The following is a 26,661-nucleotide window of genomic DNA, read 5'->3' on the forward strand; positions in this document are numbered from 1 at the left end:
TATATTATTTATAATGCAAAATAATTTAAAAAATTAAAATTTGTGCTACCCTGTAATTATTCTCTTTGAACCTGACTTAGATGATCAGCCAGAAAGCTAATCTAGAGATGAATTATCCTCAATTGTTAATGCTATCCAGTGGCTCAATATGTTTACTACTCTCATTTAATACTTTAGTTAAAATAAATATCTTCAACTTCTTAAAGCAGAGGAGAGAATGTTTTAAAAATCCTTAAAATTAAAATAAATCCTTAAAGCAACATAGTGCTTTATGGTTTACAAAATCCTTTCCCAGGAAATACAAAACTCATTTGACCCCAAAACAACTTTTGAGGAGGCAAGTTATAATATTAAAAGTTAAGAAAATGAGCAGACTTCACTGTTAGATGTCTGAGGCCACATTCATCTTCTTTATATCCAGCACTGAACTAAGCAAATGAGAAGTTTGCCTAGCCAGGAACACACTTTTCATTAAGCTATCAGAATAATCATGTGGTCATTCTGTGAGGGATACAACAGAGAGGGAGAATTTCCACCTTTCTGATGTAGAAAAGCAGCATAGAGCACATAAGCTTTCACACAGACTACTCTTGGGATTATATGCATAGCCACCTGATCACTCCATGACCTTTGCAAGTTACTTAAGTCTTCTAAGCCTTAGTCTTCTCGTCTGTAAAACAAGAATAATAACGCTCACATCTATATTGCTATAATAAAGATTAAATAAGATGAGATATGTAATATGCACTTGGTGCCACATGAAATCATGCATAGCAGTTATTGCTCAGTCTGCCTCCTACTTCCATCCCACTCACCACCTCATTGATGCCTGGGCACAGCCTTAATTTAAGCCTGCCCTTTTTCCTTCTGTATTCAAGAGGGCACTGAGTTAAGCACCATTCTGCGAAGAAGTAAAATAAAGAACAATTGGTATAAATCTTTAAAATGCCCATTTTCTCTAGATATCTTATAACTCTAGACATTTGCTGAAAAGTGTTCAAATTAATATAACCCATTAAATCTCTTTTGATGGTAAAAATAAGAAGCTATTTAAATAATGTATCATTCAGTCGTATGCTCAGCTTAGAGACTGTTAACTGAATAAAATGTAATTTTGACTGTATGCGACCAAGGCCTTTTTAAAGCTTTCATTTTTATTATTTTCTTTTTAAACATAGAACATCTGGCTTGAAGATATGCAACAGGAAAATGCACATATATTTTATCTTGTCATTCAGAGGGCTTTATCCTAAGTCTGAAAGCTTTTGGCTAGAGTGCAAAAACACTAGAGACCCATGTTGAATAGCAAGAGAAACTGAAAGGATTTCAACTCATCTTTGGTTCCAGTAGCTGGCAGGAGGTACCTTTCTGAATTGATTTTTCAAATGCATATAAGTCATTAAGCTTGCAGATTTTTAACCTTTCCAGTAGAGTATTAATAAACCTTCTGAAAAAATGAGACTTTTGAAAAATCTTAAGTCATTTAGATTCTCACCCTAAAAGAGGAGAGTCTAGAGACATTGACAGCAATCTTAATGGAATAAGGGTTCCCAAATAAACTTTGGATATAAGGCCAATTCTTAACTACTTGTATGAATAAAGAGGAGAGACCCAGGAAAGGCCTCATTTGAGCAACTCCCTACCGCAAAACTCTTGCCAGCAAGTTCCAAAATTGGGCTCTTTTGGTTACCTCATCCCTTCCCACATCCCCACATCTGCTTGCCTTGTATGTAGTAGGAATGTTTAAATGAGATATTTATGTCAAATAACTACAAGGAGAGGCCAAGGGGTGATTAATAGCTCAAAAGAACCAATCATTTAATGGCCAAATGCCACTAAATCAGAGTACCTGTGGTCAGCATGGCTGGTTAAAGCCCTCTGGTGCCTTGTCCTGGTTCATTCAAACTGAAATGATTCTAAATCATAAGATTAAATGTGATAAAGTTCAGCAATATTCTCATTTTATCCTTCATGATCATGTTTTTCTTTTCATTTGAGAGATCTAATATTAAATGATAAACATCTACTTTTTCTCATTTATTTTGTGGTTGTCCTTGCTGGTGCCCTGAGCATAAGTTTGGTCTACATGTTGGATTATCAAGTACTGAAAAAAATAATTATTTTTCAAAGACTTCAATTGTACTAACTGTGTTCTAGGGAAACAAATTTTTATGATTTATAAACAATTTGTTGTGTTTTTTTCTCTTATTTGTTCTTCACATCTCAGAGCATTGAATAATAGTGCTGTGAACTTACATTAAATATTTTATATAAAAGCATATAAAATATACAATATTATCTTACTCCATTTTGTGCTGATAGAACACCTGAGACTGGGTAACCTATAACAAACAAGTTATCGGCTCACAGTTTTGGAGACTGGGAAGTCTAATATCAATGTACTGGCATCTGGTGAGGGCCTTCTTGCTGCATCATCACATGGCAGAAGATGGGAGGGTGACAGCAAGAAAAAAACAGCCTCACCCTTTTATAATGGCACCAATCCAACCTTTAAGGCAGGAGTCCTCGTGGCCTAATCACCTCTTAAAAATTCTACCTCTTACTACTGTCACAATGGCAGTTACATTTCAACATAGGTTTTGAAATGGACAAATATTCAAACCATAGTAAATATTATACAAAATGTTGATTTCTTTTCCTTTTGGTGTTATTGATTGTATTTCTTGCATAATGAGAAGGAGACTTTTGAAAAGTTGCATGATTGCCCAAAATCAGTCAGCAGAAGAGACAGAATCAGATCCCAGATGACCTTTCTAAAGCCCTGAAAGTGTTTTTTCCACTATACCACCCAGTCTTCCAGAACCATGTGCCTCAACTTTGTGGTGACTGAGTTAAACAAGTAACTGCACTGGTTGCAAATAATACAACCAGTCTCTGAGGTGTATTTATGCTGCAGATAGCTATAAAAGAGCTTTATTCCATTAACTTAACTACCAAAATTAGTTATATTTACTCATAAATATAAATATAAATGTGTGATTATTAAATGAAGTATTGCTAATTTCCCAGCCAGAAGAATCACTTTTTAGTGTTGGAAAATACTCTCTTCTTGCTTTTGTCTGAACTCTCAGCCACTTTCTGGCTGAGAAATCTTTTGCTATTCAATTAGTCTAAAGATTTGAGGTGAGAGAAGATAAAAAGGAAATCAGAATTTTTTGCTGGCTGCTTCTTTCTACACCTTATATCTTCCCTGACATAATGCTTAAATAGGAAAAGAACACAGTAGGGGGACAATGACAAGAGTATGCAGGAGGAAAAAGAATAAAATGTATATCTTAAACATTATCCAGCCATAAATATGTATAGATAGATAGATAGATAGATAGATAGATAGATGATAGATAGTTATAAAAATCAGCAAAAAATAATACAACAGCAAGAATATGAGTTGAAAATTTTCACAAGAAAAAATAAAAATATAAAATATGTCTCATTTATATTTTCAAAATAATCAATTTCACTAGTAATTACATAAATATAAATTAAACAATTTTTGGACTTGTACTTGCAAAGATTAAAAAGTGTGACAATATCTTGCATTGAAGAGAGTACGAGGACACTCCTGTTAGCAGACTCCTCAAGGAAACTGAAAAGTCTGTTTGAAAAGCCTTCAAAATTTTCCTATATTTTGACCCCAAATTTTCACTTTTATAAATGTACCTATTGAAAAATAATCATAGAAATTCACAAAGATGTTTTTTGGAGATGCTTATTATAAAAACTTGAATGTTCAGCAATAGGGAATTGGTTTAAATAGGGGCTGCAGCATGTAATGATTTTATTTTTGCAGTTTTAGAAGTAATGCTGATGAGTTAAAATAGAGGTAGATAAAATAGTATTAGATTCTACCCTTGAATATTTATATACCTACAAAAAATCTGACATGCCATGTAATTTGAATGGTGGTTATTCCTGGAAGTTCATTTTGGAGATTGTTTTATTTTGTTCTTTAATTTTTAAATTTTTCTTTCTTTTTAGTAATTTCTGAGTATATGTTACTTTCATAATTAGATATGTATTACGTATTATAGTTATTTCCATTTTTGATAGAAAAATATGGAAGGAAAGAGAAGATGAAAGGAGGCAGAGGAAAGTATTCCTGGTAAAATTGGAGTGACATCACCTAAGCCAAAGTTTTTGTCAGCAAAGAGTGTTGATGGGAGGAAATGATCATCTGCATAAATAAGAAGCTCTTCAAAGGGACTTTGTCCTTCAGCTCCCCTAAAGTTCTTCTCTATGCCTAAAGTCTATTGGCCAGGGGCTAACATATAATAAATACATTATTCCCACCTCTTACCAATTTTCCTGGTCTTTCTTCTTCAGGGCTTCCCACAGGGTCCCAATCCCAGTTCCCTTTATGAACTTAAATTCATAATTCACAAAATTGCATATTGCTTCTCCCCATGATTCTTGTTCCAGGTTCATAGCTTTCTTACCTGCCAAAATACATATATTTGACCTCTGCTAAATAGCAATTGATACCAATGACCTAATACATTAACTATCACTCAATAAATATTTTTTGAGCAAACATTTCATTATAAGGGACCATGCTAGGTGCTTTGAGGAGAAAAATAAACAAATAGCAAGCCTGATTTTTATACCCAGGTTTGGGAGACTGTAAATAAAATAGGGACAACTAAATAATGCTAGAGATTTAAAAAGCTAACAACAACAATGGAACCTAATGTCTGTTGCATTATGTGTTTTGGGAATCAGTGCAATGTATGTTTAAAGAATTAGTGGTGTCAGATAAGCTGAGTATTTGGATCCATAAGACCTGAGTTTGAGATTCAGATCTTCCACTTTCTCTATCAAAGTCTTTTCATTCCTCTGGGTCTGTTTCTTCATCAATACAATGGATTCTATAATATTAATGGCTTTTTCATAGGATTGAAACAGATTAAAAATTTACAAAATATTGCATCCATGAATGTATAGTTATGATTAATGTCCTTCAATATGCTCCCTCACATTATTATTCCCCATGTGATAGGCCACTTGGTCTTCTCCCTGCCCTGGGAAGAGTACTGGGATAAAAGCCAGACATAAACAACAATTGAGTCACAAAAGCAGCCACACAGCTAGACAGAATATCAGATACCATCACTGTCCCCTGAACCTTGCAAGATAATGAGTCAGTTCTCTGAATTGTAAACCAAAAATAAAATTCTAAGCCTCTCCAAGCATCTGACGAGATTCCTCCTTTTGGCAAAGGCATTCCAAAACTAACCTGAAAAACTAGTTCAGGACACGATGGTAAGGAGGATGTCAGACATGCCTCATTATACCCTCCTCCTTTTGGAATTACCGATAGAAGAGATTCTTTAAGTCTGATAAGACATATTTACAATCTATTCTTTCTGGAGCCTGCTACGTGGAGGCTTCACCTGCATGATAAAATCTTTGTCTTCATAAACCCTTATCTTAACCCAGACATTTCTAAGTCTTTAGAAAAGCAAGTAAGAAAGAAAAGTTGCTAATGTTCAGCTAATATCTATTTAATAGGCAGTAAAATGCAGTAGTGTCATTTTCCATGAGTCAAAAATATTCATTAAAACTGATGATTTATAATCATTCTGCGGTAATATTAGTTAGAATATTTGACCAACAAAAATGACAATGTTTAAAAAATGATGTTATGGTACTCCTAGAAAAAAAATTCCCAGTTTGAAGACTTATATAAAGGATATAGATTTGATCATAAAACTAATAATCTGGCTTATATTGCAAAACTACTTTACATTCAAGTATTACCAAAATGGAAAATGACTTAGGTCACTAAAAGAAAATCCCTTTGATCATAAGACCTGCCATGACCGCGCTAAATTCAAGCACTTGAGACTAGTTGATTGGGCTTTAGAAATCTTATCTGGTAAAATAAATATAAGCCTGGGATATACAGCATATTAAGTCAGATTTAGTCATTCATATCTTAGATTAATTTGTCAGATCTTTTCTTAAATATAGAAAAATTTTGGATGACTGATGTTCACTGTAATTCTGTTAGGAAGACTGAGAATAAAGATGGGTGCAAAAACATCCTCCAGTCTTTACTGAGTGGCTTTGGGATAGAAATACTTCACTAATCAGTCCAGCTGGTATTCTAAGGATTTCTCAGATCTTTTCTATGGCTATGCCAGCTCCAAACCTCTTGTTCCATCTGTGGGAAGGGGAGTTACAGGAGAAGTCTGAGGATTACATGCCTTTTCAATCCACTAAGCCAGGTCAGGTGCTGAGAGCATCCCATTTGCTTTCTCTAGGTTCAATACCCTGAAATGCTTGACTTTGTGTGTCTTCTTCCAATCCCACAGAGTCAAATAGGCTGTCAGTTAGAGACTTGCACTGGGTATCTGGTTACATTTGTGGAGCCAACAGGAGAGGTAAAATGAGGCTCACAGGGCACTTGAGGTGACCATGAGCCAGTTGGGAGTGCATTCAGAGGCAAGGGGTCCTATATATCTTGTAGGTAGGCTTCCTGATTGTCTGAGGAGCAAAGTAGTTAGGTCCAGGGCTTTTCTTCCCTGCTGCCAGACTCTCCTCAGCACTCAGCCCTGACAATCACCTCAGTATTCTGAGTGGGGTGAGAAAGAAGTGAACTTCTTGGTCAGCATCTCACCCTGCTAAGGTAGCTGGGCACCTACTCACTACACTCTCACATTCTTTCAGAAATAAATAACCAACTAAGGGGGTTCTCTCCCCCAGCCATGGCAGTTAGCTGTGCTGCCTTGAAGTGGGGGTGCTTTGCCCTCTTCGTGTATCTATCCTCAAACTTTTGGCTCCAACTGTTCTGTGCAGGAGACATGCGAGGGGAGAAGAAAAGGCACACACACAATACCTTTATGGGTAAAAAAGCTTTATCCCATGTAAATGGCAATGCAGATATAATAAGCAAATGATATAATAAGGAAATTATATAATAAGCAAATTGCAATGGGAAGGGGAGAAGGGAAAAGATATATATATATATTTACATTCACCAGGCTATGGAGGATTCATCATCAGACTGGGGAGCAACAGCCTGGGCTCCAGAGTTGGACACTGCACTCACCAGACTATGGAGGATTCACCACCACAATGGGAAGCAACAGCCTGGGGTCCAGAGTCGGCCACTGGCCCATGCTCAGACAAGTAGAGGTCTCATTAAGTTTCAGTACAGTCTGGCAACCTAGCTCTTTTTGTAACGAGTTGTTTGGCATGAGGCCCAGTCATGAGGGCCCTTCATGACTGGGCTCAAGGAACACAAAAAGTTCAACTTGTTTTTGCGATTGCCTGTTGTTTTTCAACAACTAACATATAGAAATAGATTGAAATAGAGACTTGTCTGAAACAATGCTGGATCAATGTCTCAAGGGGCTCATACAACTCATTCTGGGACTTGGTGACCATTGTTTGTGTCCATGTTCAATTGAGTTCAAATGTAATATTTAGCTTTTCCTCCACACCAACACCATGCTGGAACTTCTCCACTAGACTCTTAGACTCCCACAGGACACTCTCTTTCATGGATAGCAGTCAAAATCAATCCTTCTATAGGTGAGGGGGATGACCATAGAAAGCGCCTATTCTGCTATGTTACTGTCCTCATCTCTTTTTTCTAATTGGCATATTTAGACCACTTGATTTTAATGTAAAACTTGATATTTTAAATCTGACATCTTATTTTTTGTTTTCTGTTTATCTCTGTTTTATATTTCTTTTTTCATGCTTTTCATAGATTGAAAATTTTTATATTCCCATTTGATTTATTTAATGTATATTTAGGTGAATATCCTTTTGTAGCTTTTTTAGTAGTTACTCTAGGTATTAATTTATATATACAAAACTTACCACAGTCTATGATGTCAATATTTTATCAGTTTGAGTAAAGTATTAAAAATTATCCCCTTTACCTTTTATACTCTTTACTCCTTACCCTCTTTAATATTTATAAAATAATTGTCTTATATATTTCCTCTACCTACATTGAGAACGACATTAAAATATAATGGGATGTTACAGTCAAAGTACTAAAAGAAAAATAAAAAGAACTACCAAACAAGACTACTTTATCCAGCAAAGTTGTCCTTCAGAAATGAGAGGAGATAAAGACTTTCTCAGACAAACAAAAGATTAGGGAGTTCACCACCACTAGAATGGCCATACAAAAATGTGTCCAGAATTTATTCCTTCCAGTGGGTTCTTGGTCTCACTGACTTCAAGAATGAAGCTGTGGACCCTTGCGGTGAGTGTTACAGTTCTTAAAGATGGTGTGTCCAGAGTTTGTTCCTTCAGATGTTCACATGAGTCCAGAGTTTCTTCCTTCCGGTGGGTGTGTGGTCTCGCTGACTTCAAGAGTGAAGCCGCAGACCTTCGCAGTAAGTGTTACATCTCTTAAAGGTGGCGCTTCTGGAGTTGTTTGTTCCTCCCTGTGGGTTCGCGGTCTGACTTCAGGAATGAAGCCACAGACCTTCACAGTGAGTGTTACAGCTCATAAAAGTAGTGCGGACCCAAAGAGTGAGCAGCAGCAAGATTTATTGTGAAGAGTGAAATAACAAAGCTTCCACAGTGTGGAAGGGGACCCAAGCAGGTTGCCGCTGCTGGCTCAGGTGGCCAGTTTTTAGTCCCTTAGTTGGCCCCGCCCACATCCTGCTGATTGGTCCATTTTACAGAATGCTGATAGGTCCATTTTTACAGAGTGTTGATTGGTGCTTTTACAATCCTTTAGCTAGACAAAAAAGTTCTCCAAGTCCCCGTCTGACCAAGAAGACCAGCGGTCTTCACCTCTCAAAAATGCTAAAGGAAAAATTTTAAGCTTAATTGAAAGGATGCTAATCGGTAACATGAAAACATATAAAAGTATAAAACTCAGCGAGAAATGAAAACATTAAAAATAACTATAACTACAATAATTTGTTAATCATACACACAGTAAAAAGATGTAAATTGTACAACAGAAACCTAAAATGTGGGGACAGCAAAAGTATAGAGTTATATATGTGAATAAAGTTATTATCTTAAATCAAACTGTTAAAACTACGTTTTATAAAACTCAAGGTAACCACAAAGAAAAAAATCTGCAATAGATTACTCAAAAGGTAGAGAGAAAGGAATCAAAGCAAAACACTATAGAAAATCATCAAATCACAAAGGAAGACAGCAAGAAAGGAAGAAGGAATCTATAAAACAGCAAGAAAACAATTAATAGAATGGCAATAGTAAGTCTGTATTTATCAATAATTACTTTAAATGTAAATGGATCAAATTATCCAATCAAAAAATATGGAGTGGCTAAATGGATACAAACATAAGACCAAACTACATGCTGCCTGTGAGAGACTCACTTCACCTGTAAGGACACACATAGCCTGAAAGGAAATGGATGATAAAAGCTATTCCATGCAACTAGAAACTTAAAAGAGAACAAGGGTAACTATACTTAAACAAATAGACTTTAACTCAAAAACTAAGAAGAGACAAAAAAGTCATTATGTAATGATAAACTGGTCAATTCATCAAGAGGATAAAACAACAGTCAATATACTATGCCCCTAACATTAAAGCCCCTAAATACATAAAGTAAATATTAACATATCTGAAGGGAGAAAGAGACAGAAATACAACAATTGTAGAGTACTTCGATACCCCACTTTCAACAATGTAGCTTATCCAGAGAGGAATTCTAAAAGGACACATTGGTCTCGAACTGTACTTTAGACTAAATGAACCTGACAGACATATAAAAAACAGTCTATTCACAGCAGCAGAATACACATTCAAGTACACATGAAACATTCTCCAGGATAGATTATATGTTAGGCAACAAAACAAATCTTGAAGATTGTTAATCTTGATATTTAAGAAGATTGAAATCATACTAAACATCTTTTCTGACTATGATGGTACAAAACTAGAAATCAACAAATAAGAAAAAAAACTGAAACATTCACAAATATGTGGAAATTAAACACCACACACCTCAAAAAATAAATGCAGCAAAGAAGAAACTACAGGAATAATTTAAAAAAAAATTGAGCCAAAACAAATGGAAACACAACATACTAAAACTTATAAGATGCAGTAAAAACAGTTCTAAGATGGAAGTTTATAGTAATAAAGACCTACATAAGGAAATATTATATAAAAAGATCACAAATAAATAATGCTACACCTCAAGGAGCTAGAATAAGATCAAACTAAGTCCAAAGTTATTAGAAGGAAGGAAAAAGTAAAAATCAGAGCAGAGATAAATAAAATAGTCTACGGACTATTGCTATGGTGATAGCACCCCAACTATCACTGTTCGTATTCTCTGCAAAGTTTTGGTTGTAAAATCAAGCCTCCATCTTGTTTTACATCCTGAGGGTATGACTTGTAACTCTGGTGGCAAGGCTTTGTTTAGCAATCCTATCTTAGGGAATAACTTTCTTTATGGTTTGATGTCTGCATGTTTTCCTACCCCTGTCTCTTAAAGGGCTCTACCCAGCAACTGGGTTTTCTTGTGCCTGTCTGTGTATGTGTTGTGTGTAATGTCTGGAAAAGAGCTCTAGTTAATTTGGCCTAAAGAAAGACAACTGCTTGCATCTAATATTTTTTAAAGGGAGGATAAAAGCTGTGGTACTTTTCAGAAATAAAAGCAGCCTTCAATCTTGTTGGTAAAATGCATGTGTCATTAAAATGTAAATAGATGAACTAAACTATGCAGGTCTGATGCAAGATTTGCTAAATGTTTTGAGGTTGCAAACTGCTTTTTGGGTTTTTGAGAACTATCTGACTTGTGGGCTTCACAATTGCAAGACCTGGGGACATATGGAACTAACCATACCCTTAATTAAGAAGGGAAACCTTGGCTGCACTTAGCACACAATTTAAACAACTTACCAGGTTTCACATTAAAGTTAAAAATTGCTAAGAGTTACCATTATAACATGTAATTGAAACTACTGGAAATAGATTTACATGCAAGGTATGTAAGAACAGTAAAATGTGTTTTTTAGTAAAAGGTTATAAGAAGGCATGGAAATATAAATTTGTGCCTAGTGTTAAAGGATTGTTTTGAGTTAGATAGGAAAAGCCAAAGTTTCAAACAAGTGGTGGAAGAACTGTGGAAATTAATCTTGCAGAAGAGGTTCTCTATGCAAACATATTAACAAAATTCAAAAGGGTTATAAAAGAATTTTGCTTCTTTAAGACTTCTGAGTCATCATTTTGGCAAAATAAATGACTTATGGTAATCTGGAATTCTGTTTCATAATATCGAGTGCTTTAAACATATTTAACAGGCTTCCCAAATGAAACCCCAGTTTCAAAATTGTCTTTCCTGACCCCTGACATCGGATACTTCAGAGGGCCCCTGGAATGTCCAGAAAAGAGAGGTAAACAGGATTATTGGACGGGTTTAGATACATGGGATTGACAAAATGATGTTCATTCTTCTTTAGGTTACATTTTTGGTGAATAAGGCTAATATATGTTCCAAAATTTATGAGAATTCTAATGTCTAAGTATATGCTATCAATCATAATTAAGGTTGTTATGTTAAGTTGTTGTAAACCACAGAGATGGCCAAACTTCTTTGTCAATTGTGTTGCTAGCTGTAACTACCCTGGACATTTTGCTATTCACAGACAATTGTTGTCTTGTTTTAATCCTTTTCAAAAGATGGTTCGTAATAAGCTATAGAAATTTAACAGATCCTCTAAAATACAGGCTTCTGATAACTTTGGAAATTGTAACATTGGAATAAAGGAAAACATACAGGACTCGTGAACAGCTGAAATGTTCATGAATATTAAGCAAAACAAGAGTCAACTAAATGGACTAAACTCAGAAACTGAATGGAGCAAATCTTTCTGACTTTTGCTTGAAATATTGCTGATCCTTGTTATGTTTTTCAGAGTCAAAGAAACTTATTTTAAACTATTTATGGCCTTTAATTATTAAGATACACTCCTAGATCAAAATTTGGAGCATGTTTGTTTCTCTCTGCCTGCTTCCCTTAGAATTTGGAAAGTATCTGTGAGTATTCTTAACTTACAGCAATATAGTTGTTTGCATCAGTGCAATAAGAATCCATCTTTCTTTTGCAACAGAACGCAATTGGAAAAACTGGTCATTTCACCAAGGCTTTGACTGGAAGGGTATGCTTCCCTTTAAGGAGTCAATCTCGACTTGCAGAGCCAATAAAAGCCCAGTGGGGAGACTGGCCTCATAACTTTGTCTATGCAGTCCCTGTACAGGGTTCCTGATGTGTGGTCAGTAATGATTGTCACTTTCTAACAGGTCCAGGAGCTCCAAGTTTATCTTGGGACCTTATGAGGAGAGGATGACCCCACTCACAGGTATTTGAGGATACTAACCCATGGCTGGGCTCAGTTTTAAAATACCTTATCTGAGACTCCTTGTGGAACAAAGTTCCATCAAAGCCAATCCAAAAGGCCTATGTAGAAATGATTATTCTTGCTGCACTTTATGTAAATAATCAGGCCAAGTGTAAAACCAAAGTCTATTTTTCAAACAACCCAGTCCCATTATGATTTGTTTTTTTTAAACAAACATGAGGACTGGAGAGAGTAAAATTATATTCCAAACTTTCTCATACATTTGTCATTAAATTCTAAACTAACTAATTGTTTTTAAGTTTTCTCCTACATTTTAGACTAATCCTGCTTGTTCCTGTGAACCAACCAGCAATCTCTGGCTGCAGCTCAGAAAGAACAAAAGGGGATGGGTAATGTAGAAATCCTGATCAATATTCTAGTTCTGTGCAATTATCCTGCAAATCTTGCCAGGTGATGGAATACATAGGGAATAAATAGGATCCCATCACTCAGAGGTTTCCTTTTGGGGAAGTAAGACCAAGGGAGCTAACCAAAGCCAGACACCATGCACCCAAATCCTAGCAAGCATAACTATAGCTACCAGTTATCTGGGGGTGTCATAAGACATCCTTTCTCACCCTCGGAGGAGGACTTAGTTCCACAGTTTCATCATAGCATTTGGCTTATGATAAGGAGTCCACGCAACTTTCCCCGAGACACATTTTTGTCCCAGACTCAATTACAGGCTTTGGGTTAAAGCCCTAGAAAGAAAATTGGATATAAAGGATCCAGAGGCAGACAACAACAGAGGTTAAAAGGCACAGCACAGGGGAGCATGGCTGATTCCTGTTGATTAAGCCAACCCCAAACTTCCTGTTTCATGGATAAAGGCCACATTAATATCCATGGTGTAAATGAGGTCTAGGGCACTCCAAGGCTACTGACAGTAGCAGTGATAGAGGCATAGGTGAGAGCAGATAATTCCTATTCTCTAGGCCTTCCCTGCTTCATGTGTGCAAGCTGCTTTGGCACTCATGGCGGGACCTGCCTAGGTCACAGGGACTTGGAGATGCAAGGATGGAAGAGGAAAAGAGGACACTCTTCCTTTTCTCCCTCATGTACCCCAGGTATCTGCTAGGAAGAAAAGGGAGCCAGGGATGCCTGCTCCCCTCTTTCTAGATGGGTAGCTATTAATCTTCAGTATGTACCCCTTTTGAATACATCCTGAACCCCGGGGACTCCCTTAAAAAAATGCCTTTTTGAGCTTACCCTTCCTATTGTTTTGTTTTGATACATGTTTTCTAATAACCCGGTTTGTCTGTTCTTAGACCATCAAACTCCAAATGGTCATGCAACCAGAGCCTCTGACGATGGCCCCTTCTGCTGGGAACCCTTAAATAGGCCTCTGAGGAAGCTCTGACTGCCATTTCCCCAAAAGCTCTGACTGCCGTTTCCCTGTCAGCAGGAAGCAGTTAAGTTTAGTCTTCATCTTTATCCTTATTCTCATGGCAGTTAGATATACTTTTTTAGAGCGGGGAATGAGACAGCCAGGTGGGAGGGGGTCCCTGGAAAAATTCTAACTGCACCGGGGTGGGGACTCAGGAAGTTCACGCATTTTGCAGCTGGGAGGAGCGTGGCCCCTCCTCTTCCTGCATGGAACCTGGGATTCAAACAGGGGCTCTGGCCTTGCGGAAGATCCCTGTTTCTCTCCTTCTTTTCCCTTTTCACCCAATAAAACCCTGCCTTAATCACACTTCAAACCATTTGCTAGCCTAAATTTTCATGGCCATGGGACAGACAAGGACTCAGTCTTTAGCTGAACTAAGGAAATGTCCTGAAACAGTAATATGAATGTATACATGTGATAAATGACATAAAGCCATAGTGTACATATTGTGCCAATGTCAAATTCCTAATTTTGATTTTGTGCTATAATTATGTAAGGTATAACCATTGGGGAAAACTGGTAAGGGGTACGTGGATCCCCTCTGCCCTACCTTTGAAACTCCCTGTGAATCTATTCTTTTTTTTTTTTTTTAATTATACTTTACGTTCTAGGGTACATGTGCACAACATGCAGGTTTGTTACATATGTATGCATGTGCCATGTTGGTGTGCTGCACCATTAACTCATCATTTACATTAGGTATATCCCCTAATGCTTTCCCTCCCCCCTCCCCCCACCCCACAACATGCCCCAATATGTGATGTTCCCCTTCCTATGTCCAAGTGTTCCCATTGTTCAATTCCCACCTATGAGTGAGAACATGCAGTGTTTGGTTTTTTGTTCTTGTGATAGTTTGCTGAGAATAAAAAGGTAAAAAAGAATTTAGGTCAAAGTTACTTGTTCACAGTCTGTGGAGGAGATTCACTTGATTCCTTGATCAGCATCAGTAGCCTTGAACAACAGGACAGAGTCAATCTTATGAAGAGTGGCCTGAAAAGTTTCATCATATTGAACCTTCTCCTGCAGAATTCCTCTAATGAACTATTAAACTACAAGAGGATACATAGCAAAAGGCAGATTTCAAATATATTTTATAAGTTTGTTGTGAAGATAAAGACAAAATAATAAATGTAAAGCCTTTAAAAACTATTAAGCCAAGTTTAGCAAGCTTTTTTTTGTAAAGGAGAAGAGAGTACATATTTTAAGATTTGTGGGCCATATGGTCTCTTTTGTAAATACTCAACTCTGTCATAGTCCAAAAGTAGCCATAGAGAATATGGAAAAGAAAGAGCATGGCTGTGTTGCAATTGAACTACAGTCATGCACCGCATTACAAAGTTTTACTCAACAACAGACCACATATACGACAGTGTTTGCATAAGATCATAATAGATCTGAAAAATTCCTGTTGCCTAATGAGTCGCAGCCATCTTAACATTGTAGCACAATTCTTTACTCATATGTTTGTTTTAATATTGGTGTAAATGTGAAAGGAAAATAAACCTGGGAGCCCCCAAATTACTAAGCCAAAGGGTGTCAGGCAAACCTGTCTCTCATTTTATTTTAAAATAACTACAAAGATTTTTTTTTTTTAAGCTACATACCTCCCTCACAATTTGCCCACCATGAAATTCCTTGTGAGCCTCAAGGTCTTCACCCTAAAACAGTTCTGTTGAATTTCACCCTGGCAATGTAAACTGATAGCTTATCTTCTCAGGGGCAGGACAAAGGACAGACAGAACTCAGAGTCATCTCTGCTCACCTGCATTATTGGATTGCTTCCTCTGCCCTATTGTTTATGTAAAAATGCAGATTCACTGAGTCAGACTAAGACACAAGTGACTATTCCTCTACTCTCCTCTTACATGTAAATTTTATATTCAGTGAAAGGCTGATTAAAGACCCAAAAAGACCTAAAAGAATGCAAACTTTTGTCTCTTATTTACCTATGTCCTGGAAGCCCCAATTTCTAGTTGTCCCGCCTTTCCAGACCAAACCAATGTACATCTTACACATATTGATTGAGGTCTCATGTCTCTCTAAAATGTATAAAGTCAAGCTGTGCCCTGACCACCTTGGGCACATGTTCTCAGGCTCTCCTGAGGGCTGTGTCACGGGCCATTGGTCACTCATCCTTGACTCAGAGTAAATCTCTTTAAATATTTTACAGAGTTTGACTCTTTTCATCAACATAAACAAACCCATTGTGCTGCCAGTTGTAAAAAGTATAGGACACACAATTATGTACAGTACATAATACTTGATGATAACAAATGGCTATGTAAATGGTTTATGAATTTATTATACTATATTTTTATTGTTATTATAGAGTTTACTTCTTCTAGTTACAGGGAAAAAAAAAGTTAACTGTAAAACTGCTGCAAGTCGATCCTTCAAAAGGTATCATAGGAGATGGTAGCTCTATGTGCGTTATGCGTGGAAGACCTTCTGGTGGGATAAGATGTGGACATGAAAAACTATGATACTGATGATCCTGAACATGTGTAGCCCTAGGCTAATGTGTGTGTTTGTGTCTCATATTTAACAAAAAGGTTAAAAAGTTCAAAAAATAAATATATATATATATATATTTTTTGAGACAGAGTCTCACTCTGTCGCCCAGGCTGGGGTGCAGTAGCACGAACTGGGCTCACTGCAGCCTTCACTTCCCAGGTTCCAGTGATTCTCCTGCCTCACCCTCCCAGGTAGCTGGGATTACAGGCGTGTGCCACCACACCTGGCTAATTTTTGTATTTTAAGTTGAGATAAGGTTTCACCATGTTGACCAGGCTGGTCTTGAACTCCTGGCCTCAGGTGATCCTCCTGCTTGAGCCTCCCAAAATGCTGGGATTACAGGTGTGAAGCACTGTGCCCAGCCAATAAAATATTTTTAAAATAGAAAAAAGCTTAGAGAATATGAATATAAAGAAAATATTTTGTGCAGTTGCATGTGTTTGTGTTTTAACCTGTATTAGTACAAAAGAGTCAAAAAGTTTCAAAAAACTAAAAAGTTTACAAAGTAAAAAAGCTACTGTAAGCTGAGGTTAGCTTATTATTGAAGAAATTTCTTTTTATAAACATAGAGTAGCCTAAGTACACAGTGTTTATAAAGTGTACAATAGAGTACAGTCATGCCGTAGGCCTTCACATTCACTCGCCACTCACTCACTGACTCACCGAGAGCAACTTCCTCTCCTACAGGCTCCATTCATGGTAAGTACTCTATACAGATGTACCATTTTTTAATATCTTTTATACCATATTTTTACTCTACCTTTTCCATGTTTAGATACACACATACTTAACTTTTTGTTGCAATTGTCTGCAGTATTCAGAAGAGTAACATGCTGAACAGGTTTGTAGCCTAGGAGCAATAGGCTGTACCACATAACCCAGGTGTGTAGCAGGCTGTACCCTCTATAGGTTTGCGTAAGTACACTTAATGATGTTCACACAATGACAAAACCGCCTAATGATGCATTTCTCGATTGTATTCCCATCATTAAGCAACATATGACTGTACTTGCAAAAACAGATACAGGCCGCATCTGGTCTATAAACTATAGTTTGTTGACTCCTGCCATAAAGCCCCTTATCTCATATAGATAATACAGAAGAGAAACAGGATTTCAGAGAGCTGGCTTCCAGTTCTGTCACTGACCCTAATGGCTATGTTGTTTTAGACAATCTCCTTATCTCACTGCCTACTTGAACTATAAAAAGAAAAAGGTAAACACTAAGATCTCTTCCAAAGTCTAAAATCCTTAATTATTGATTACCCTAGATAATTCTCATAAAACCTCCTTTCTTAGGTTGTAGAACCTGGAAACAATTTCATCATCGCAAACCATTAAAGCTTATATTTAGCACATGGATCATTGTCATGGGATATTGGCCAATGAATATGAATAAAATTTCTTTATTAGAAAGAAGAAGTTTATGCTAAAAGGAAAAACTAGTTGGAAAAACTTTAATGGTACAGCGAATTTATTTTTGGCATTTCATATTTTATCAAGCTCCCATATTATGTTGAATGTATCAAATGTACTCAAATCCTTTCTAATTTTTTAAATATTTCATTCAAATAAGTATTTTATTAATGTGGCATCATTATTTCAAAGTTTTTACCCTACTTAATATAAAATATTATTTGGAAGAAGGAGTTAAAGTATTTAATGAAAATAAACATATAAATAGTTAGAAAATCAAATTAGCTGTCAACTATTCCATTAGAGACAGTGGTGGTTGTTATAATGCTTAAGGACAGAAAAGCTAATAAAATACATTAATTATAAATGTGTTTGAATTTTTAACACACATTTAATAAAATTTATAAAAATTAAACTTTTGGAAATTTTTCTTAAATACAAACAAAAGAAAAATATAAAATAATGAGCATTCCATCACAGAAATAGATCAAGAAATACCTGATGAATGTTAAACGTATTCTTTTATAAATGTGTACATTACATAAGGATTTGGATTTACCAAAGATAATTCCAGTTTTACAAGTTTATAAAGTCAAACTAAATTCTACTTCTTACTATGTTAACTGAAACACTTTAAAAATGTTCTATCTATCTGTAGTAGTGTCAACAATGAAAATGAAGTTAAAAATAAAAAAAAAGTTCTTTGTAGGCAGGATATAGCAGAGAAGAGTCAACAGGTGCTGAGACATGGATGAGAAAAATTTAAAACAATAGACTTTTTAATAAAATGTGAAGACATTTTTACAGATTTCCACAGATGAGGAACATTGCAAACCCAAAGTTCTAACTCACCTACATCATACAGTTGATTATTGGCAGAGCTGAAGCTAAAGCTTGTGAGTCTTAGTTCCTATTCTTGGGTTATTTCTACTCTACCACTTTCAGCCTATGTGGTGAAAAGTAACATGAAAACAGTAAAATGGCAAAGCCTAAATGTGCTATCAGCTGGAAATCAAGGCTTTCTTTGAGACAACCACAGAACTAGTCTAAGCATGCTGCCTGAAAGAGATGAAACGAAAGAAAGTGTGGGAAAATGGGAAATGCAAATAACACTAGGCAAAGAGAATATCTGGAATAATTACTTGAAACAACAACAAAAACTGTGTAAGATGAGAGGACTGTTTTATATACTCTCTTGAGAGCAAAAGAAATATAAGAGGTCTTGTTCATTCATGCAGTCATTCAGCAAACATTCTTAGGACCTACTACATGATATTTGCAGGTCTGGGTTCTGTGAAACCAACAGTAAACCAGAAAGACTTTCTTACTAAGCAACAGAAAAATAACAAGAGCTATTTTAGAGAAGACAGAGTATTTAGGGGAGAAAGGTGCATAGTCAAGGACTGGTAAAATAAGACTTGCTGAAGGAAGTGGTATTTATCTTAGTCAAAGGTTTGAGTTAGAGTTAGCCATTCAAAGAAGGAGGAAAAGGGAATTCCAGGTGAATAAGTCTTTATTTGTTACCATCTCTGTTGACTTTACTGCAGACCCTGCAGGATTAGTAGATTTCATGACACCACTAGCCACCTCTTTATAAATTCTCTAGGCAGGCTTAGCCTCTATTCAAATCTAAATGTGCAGCCCCACAGTCCTCTCCTCTATCTACATCCTCACATTTGGTAACTTTATCCAGATCACTGGCTATATCTCACCACTGAGCTATAAACCAGTGTGTCCAACCACATGTTTCTACTCTCTACCTGTTGGTTATTAGACATTTCAAACATAGAGTGGCTTGGCTGGGGTAGCTCTCCACATTTCTTCCATTTTTCTCCATAGAGTGTGTAAGCTCTCTTGGAACACACTAATATTAGCAAGAAGAGCCAAGGTTAGTGAAGACAGAAAGGGACAGGTATTTAAGCCAAACAACAAAAGATTAGCAATAATTGACTATGCATTGAAGGAGAAAAACAATATTCCGAGCCAATGAAGATCTTCTCTATTTTTAGCTTATGTTTTCTAACAATGATTATCACTATAAAGCATAAGTGGTATTTATTTGATTCTTTCTTTTGTGTGTGTGTGTGTGTGTGTGTGTAGCCTAAATTCTTACAAAAAATAGACTATATCCATACTCAGTAATGAAGTAATCTTGAAAAAGAAACACTTATCATCCTGTATCACTAAGAGAATGTTAGTGATGCTAGTGAAGGCTCCAGGTATAGCCATTAGTTTTATTTATTTATTTATTTATTTATTTATTTATTTATTTAATTATTATACTTTAAGTTCTAGGGTACATGTGCACAATATGCACGTTTGTTACATATGTATACATGTGCCATGTTGGTGTGCTGCACCTGTTATCTCGTCATTTACATTAGGTATATCTCCTAATGCTATCCCCCCTCCCCCTATGCCATGACAGGCCCCAGTGTGTGATAGTCCCCACACTGTGTCCGATATTCCCCACACTGTGTCCAAGTGTTCTCATTGTTCAATTCCCACCTATGAGTGAGAACATGCAGTGATTGGTTTTCTGTCCTTGTGATAGTTTGCTCAGAATGATGGTTTCTAGGACAGGAACTCATCCTTTTTATGGCTGCATAGTATTCCATGGTGTATATGTGCCACATTTTCTTAATCCAGTCTATCATTGATGGACATTTGGGTTGGTTCCAAATCTTTGCTATTGTGAATAGTGCCGCAATAAACATATGTGTGCATGTGTCTTTAAAGCAGCATGATTTATAATCCTTTGGGTATAGGCTCAGTAATGGGATGGCTGGGTCAAATGGTATTTCTAGTTCTAGATCCTTGAGGAATCACCACATTCTCTTCCACAATGGTTGAATCAGTTTACAGTCCCACCCACAGTGTAAAAGTATTCCTATTTCTCCACATCCTCTCCAGCACCTGTTGTTTCCTGACATTTTAATGATCGCCATTCTAACTGGTGTGAGATGGTATCTCATTGTGGTTATGATTTGCATTTCTCTGATGACCAGTGATGATGAGCATTTTCTCATGTGTCTGTTGGCTGCATAAATGTCTTCTTTTGAGAAGTGTCTGTTCATATCCTTTGCCCATTTTTTGATGGGGTAGTTTGATTTTTTCTTGTAAATTTGTTTAAGTTCTTTGTATATTCTGGATATCAGCCCTTTGTCAGATGGGTAGATTGTAAAAATTTTCTCCCATTTTGTAGGTTGCCTGTTCACTCTGATGGTAGTTTCTTTTGCTGAGCAGAAGCTCTTTAGTTTAATTAAATCCCATTTGTCACTTTTGGCTTTTGTTGCCATTGCTTTTGGTGTTTTAGTCATGAAGTCCTTGCCCATGCCTATGTCCTGAATGGTATTGCCTAGGTTTTCTTCTAGGGTTTTGGTGGTTTTGGGTCTAACATTTAAGTCTTTAATCCATCTTGAATTAATTTTTGTATAAGATGTAAGGAAGGGATCCGGTTTCAGCTTTCTACATATGGCTAGCCAGTTTTCCCAGCACCATTTATTAAATAGGGAATCCTTTTCCCATTGCTTGTTTTTGTCAGGTTTGTCAAAGATCAGATGGTTGTAGATGTGTGGTATTATATCCAAGGGCTCTATTCTGTTCCATTGGTCTATATCTCTGTTTTGGTACCAGTACCATGCTGTTTTGGTTACTGTAGCCTTGTAGTATAGTTTGAAGTCAGGTAGCGTGATGCCTCCAGCTTTGTTCTTTTGGCTTAGGATTGTCTTGGCAATGTGGGCTCCTTTTTGGTTCCATATGAACTTTAAAGTAGTTTTTTCCAATTCTGTGAAGAAAGTCATTGGTAGCTTGATGGGGATGGCATTGAATCTATAAATTACCTTGGGCAGTATGGCCATTTTCACAATATTGACTCTTCCTATCCTTGAGCATGGAGTGTTCTTCCATTTGTTTGTGTCCTCTTTTATTTCGTTGAGCAGTAGTTTGTAGTTCTCCTTGAAGATGTCCTTCACATTCCTTGTAAGTTGGATTGGTAGGTATTTTATTCTCTTTGAAGCAATTGTGAATTGGAATTCACTCATGATTTGGCTCTCTGTTTGTCTGTTATTGGTGTATAGGAATGCTTGTGATTTTTGCACATTGATTTTGTATCCTGAGACTTTGCTGAAGTTGCATATCAGCTTAAGGAGATTTTGGGCTGAGACGATGGGGTTTTCTAGATATACAATCATGTCATGTGCAAACACGACAAATTGACTTCCTCTTTTCCTAATTGAATACACTTTCTTTCTTTCTCTTGCCTGATTGCCCCGGCTGGAACTTCCAACACTATGTTGAATAGGAGTGGTGAGAGAGGGCATCTTTGTCTTGTGCCGGTTTTCAAAGTGAACACTTCCAGTTTTTGCCCATTCAGTATGATATTGGCTGTGGGTTTGTCATAAATAGCTCTTATTATTTTGTGATACGTCCCTCAATACCTAGTTTATTGAGAGTTTTTAGCATGAAGGGCTGTTGAATTTTGTCGAAGGCCTTTTCTGCATCTATTGAGATACTCATGTGGTTTTTGTCATTTGTTCTGTTTATGTGATGGATTACGTTTATTGATTTGCATATGTTGAACCAGCCTTGCATCCCAGGGATGAAGCCAACTTGATCATGGTGGATAAGCTTTATGATGTGCAGCTGGATTCAGTTTGCCAGTATTTTATTGAGGATTTTTGCATCGATGTTCATCAGGGATATTGGTCTAAAATTCTCTTTTTTGTGTGTGTCTCTGCCAGGCTTTGGTATTAGGATGAAGTTGGCCTCATAAAATGAATCAGGGAGGATTCCCTCTTTTTCTATTGGTTGGAATAGTTTCAGAAGGAATGGTACTAGCTCCTCTGTGTACCTCTGGTAGAATTTGGCTGTGAATCCATCTGGTCCTGGGCTTTTTTTGGTTGGTAGGCTATTAATTATTGCCTCAATTGGACTTAGTTTTGAATGGTTCTTCCACTCCGTTATCTGAATACACATAGCCAATAAAATCTCACAGCAATTTGAATGAATCATTATGAAAGCAAAAGACAACAAAATGGTTTGCTATTTTCTTTGAATTCCTAGGTATATGACCTTGTACTTCAGTCAAAATAATCTATTTTTTTAACCTAACCACATCCTTCACTGATGGCATTTTGTTGCATATACAAAATACAATAATAAAAAGAGTGAGTAGTTCAACTGTAAGACTGATTTATAATGACAGTTTTTCAGATACAGGGGAAATGAAGAATTGAGCAGATTCTGTGAAGTGAAAATTCCCAATTATGTTATTCCCTTGTATTAATTAAACAGGTGCTAGGTAGTTTTCAGAGTAGCACCTCTGAGACTTGTGTTATGCAGAATTACTTACAGTTGTTAAATGTTATGCTCTTCTCAGTGAAAGCACTAATACAAATCCTGATTGAGCATCTATTAGGTAGAAAGTACAGCTCCTCTTGGACTCCCTTGAGGAGATAACTGACTAATCCTCAGGCAACTCTTCTATTTCCCCAAATCTTTGTTCATTAAGAAAAAAGTCCACTTTGGAGTCCTTCCAATGTTTATCAAATATGCTTCTGACAAACTTACTTTCTTTAAAAATCTTAGCCCATTTCACCACTACTGTCTTATTATATCATTTCCTTCAAGAAATACCTTCACTGGGTCCCACATACATAACAGAAATAGTCCATATTTTTAGCCTAATATTTACGGTCTTCCAAACATTGAACAATCTCAACCATGCCCATGGCTTAAACTATTCTGTTTGTGACCAAAACCTGCAGCTTTTGACAAAACTTCATATCTGAGCTCCAGAATCTAAGAACCTGATCAAGCTCTTTCTTTCTTTCTTTCTTTTAGGTGGAATCTCATTCTGTTACCGAGGCTGCAGTGCAGTGGCATGATCTCGGCTCACTGCAAGCTCCACCTCCCGAGTTCACGCCATTCTCCTGCTTCAGCCCCTCGAGTAGCTGGGACTACAGGCGCCCGCCACCACACCCGGCTAATTTTTTTTGTATTTTTAGTAGAGATGGGGTTTCACCATGTTAGCCGGGATGGTCTCGATCTCCTGACCTCGTGATCTGCCTGCCTCGGCCTCCCAAAGTGCTGGGATTACAGGCGTGAGCCACCACGCCCGGCCGCTCTTTTCTTAAATATCTGGTGGAGGCCTCAAAATCAAAATGTCTAAAACAGAACTCATCATCAATAAAGCCATTCGTCCATTTATATTCTCTGCTTCTTTGAACGGTTATCCAGTACCTCCAACCAGAAGTCAATAGCTTACCCTGGAGTCTTTTTTATCATTACCTTTCGTATTCAGTTCGTCAGCAAGTATGTCTAAAATCCTTCCATTCTTCCTGCTTCTCTGTTACCAACTGTGCTGCACAGTGTATGCCCTACCACATCTCATCTGGATAATTTATAATAGCTTCACTAATAGTTGCTTTTCTTCCAGCCATGTCTCCTTCCCAGTGAGATGGTTCATACAATCATGGAATTTTATCTTTCTAATTCATACATTCGATCACATCACTATCATTTTCAAAGTTTCTTTATGGCTCACCATCACTCTAGAACATAATCTAAACTTCTTTGCATGGCTGACAAGACATTTTTTGATCTGGCTTCTTGCCTCCTCTCCTGCCAGCCTTAACCTCTCTCCCATACTTCCCTAAACATTTTATTTTCCAGTTCTCATAAAATGCCTTTACTCACTCATATCTCCATGCCTGTGCACAATTACGTTCTTCTTTGCATAGTACCCTTTCTTGTCTATCCATCAAACTCTCATTTATAATTCAAATCTATACTCAGATAGTACGTACTGTATAAACTTCCCCTGACTCCTGAGATCTTAGAATCTCCTTTCCCTTTATACATTAAATATATTTAAAATATAATAATTATATTTTTATAATGATATATGTCGTTTATGCAGTATGTCTGTCTCCTACTAGGCTATGCATTCCTTGAATCCTGCTTGTACAACTTTGTATCATCACTTAGGAACACAGTCAGACTCAGAACTTTTAAGAAATTGACTTGAGTGAATGAATTTTTCAGAATTTTTAAGAAATTGACTTGAGTGAATGAATGGATATATAAAAATAAGAGTGAGTTTGACTGAAAAAAGATAAGGAATTATTGTTATTTCAACAGCTTACCAGCACTAACGCTCATTATTCCAGTAGGCTAAGTTGCCTTGGAAAACTAATGTTTGAATCCTTCCTTCCTGTTAAGAGTTTTTAAAGTCAGTTTTATGGCATTTCTTGTAGACAGAGGCAGGGGTAACACAGGAAGAACAGAGGTACAAAAGGAAAATGAGTTTTTCTTTGATCACCACGAAAAGTCCCTTACATTTCAATCATGCTTGTATCTCTGCCAAGGGTCAAGGTGAATGTCTGTTATTATTGATGAATTATTTTAGGTCATTTATCAGTCACACATACTGGCTGGATTTCATAAACAGCAAAAGAAAAGTTTGAATTAGGTGAGGAAAATGACTAAGCAAATGTATATCCTCCTGTGAAGGTAAGAACCAACTCCGAGTTTGCAATGCATCAATTCCAAAATTGGAATGCTCCTTTTTCTGTTTTACTTAGAGACTTTCCCACTGCAGGCCCCAATTGAACTCTGGAAGACACAACAGTACAGAAGATCTGAGAATAGATGCCAAACACACTGAGCCTTCTAAACTCACACGAACAAGACCAAAAATAAAAATATGAAATAAAATAGAAAAAAAGAGGAAGTAACTAATACCCTTTATGTCACCAAGCTAGCAGGTCCATACTACATAAACTCAATGTATTTATTCAGCTTTCTAAAACTTACAATTTTTAAGATGTCACATGTCGAATCTGATACTGTAGTGGTAGAAGAGACCTAGACACTATGTAGTGTGGTGCTTATCAGATCATAATCTCTCAAGAATCTTTGGATTCTGATGTGATGCCTCAGGGACTAAACTTGGGAGAGCAAGGACCAGCTTCCCTACCATACTTCAATTCAAGCAGCAATCTTTTTATCTGTTTCATTTGTTTGTTTAGTAATGAAGTCCCATGCAAGATTTTATTTGGTGTTGATAAAATAATTCTTTATAAAAGTTAAAAATACTGTCATCTATTCTAAATTCCTTGATTTATAGATGAGGAATCCAAGGCTCAGAATGGCTGCATAATAACTCAAGTTGGTGTCCAATGAGTAGAATCTGCCCAGGTCTTCTAATGCTCATTACAATGGCAATGGTATACCTGGGCTTGAGTTTTAGAGCCCAAGTACCTGGATTCAAATTACCACTGTCACCTGACTTTGGGCAATTTATTTATCCTTTTTGGGCATCAGTCTTCATCTGAAAAATGGGGTTCATATTGGTACATACCTCATAGAGTTGTTTTAAGGAGTAAAGGGGTTAATATAAAGAAAGTGTCTAACACATAGTAAGCACTCAAAAATATCACCGGAACTGTAATATAACTATTATTCTATTTTACCAAACTGAAAAACTTCAGGGTTAGGCAGTGTGTTCGTTTCTATACAATGTTGTTGTATTGTTGCTACAGCAAATTACTACCAACTTAGTGGCTTAAAATAACACAAATTTATTATCTTAAAGTTACTGCAGTCAGAAGTCCAAAATGGGTCTCACTGGGCTAAAAGCTAGATGCCCGCTGAGCTGATTTCCTTCTGGAGGCTCTAGGGGAGAATCTCTTCCCTTGACTTTTCCAGCCCCCTTCATTCCTTGGCTGTGGCCCCTTTGCCCATCTTTAAAACCAGCAGTGTACCACTATTCAGAGTCTGACTCTGACTCTCACGCTCCTGCCTCCTCTCAATGCTTTCACTTACAAACACCCTTTGTGATTGCATTGGTCTCACCCAGATAATTCAGGATAATCTCCCCATGTCAAAATCCTTAACTTAATAAATCTGCAAAGACCCTGTTGCCATGTAAGGTAATATATTTATATAGATATATTTGGAG

At 36.8% G+C, this 26,661-nt stretch overlaps 1 long non-coding RNA gene across 1 annotated transcript in view; it reads right to left on the reverse strand.

The window, feature by feature from the left end:
* Positions 1-382: 382 nt before the first annotated feature.
* Positions 383-26,661, reverse strand: part of LINC02653 (long intergenic non-protein coding RNA 2653) — a 138,285-nt gene continuing 112,006 nt past the window's right edge. The window contains exons 4-7 of the long non-coding RNA NR_110657.1: positions 4,312-4,457; positions 1,850-1,916; positions 816-901; positions 383-670 (exon numbers count right to left, since the gene is read on the reverse strand). This is a non-coding gene — a long non-coding RNA (long intergenic non-protein coding RNA 2653). The remainder of the gene's footprint in view (positions 671-815; positions 902-1,849; positions 1,917-4,311; positions 4,458-26,661) is intronic.

This window comes from Homo sapiens, chromosome 10 (assembly GCF_000001405.40).
Source record: "Homo sapiens chromosome 10, GRCh38.p14 Primary Assembly".
NCBI lineage: Eukaryota > Metazoa > Chordata > Mammalia > Primates > Hominidae > Homo > Homo sapiens.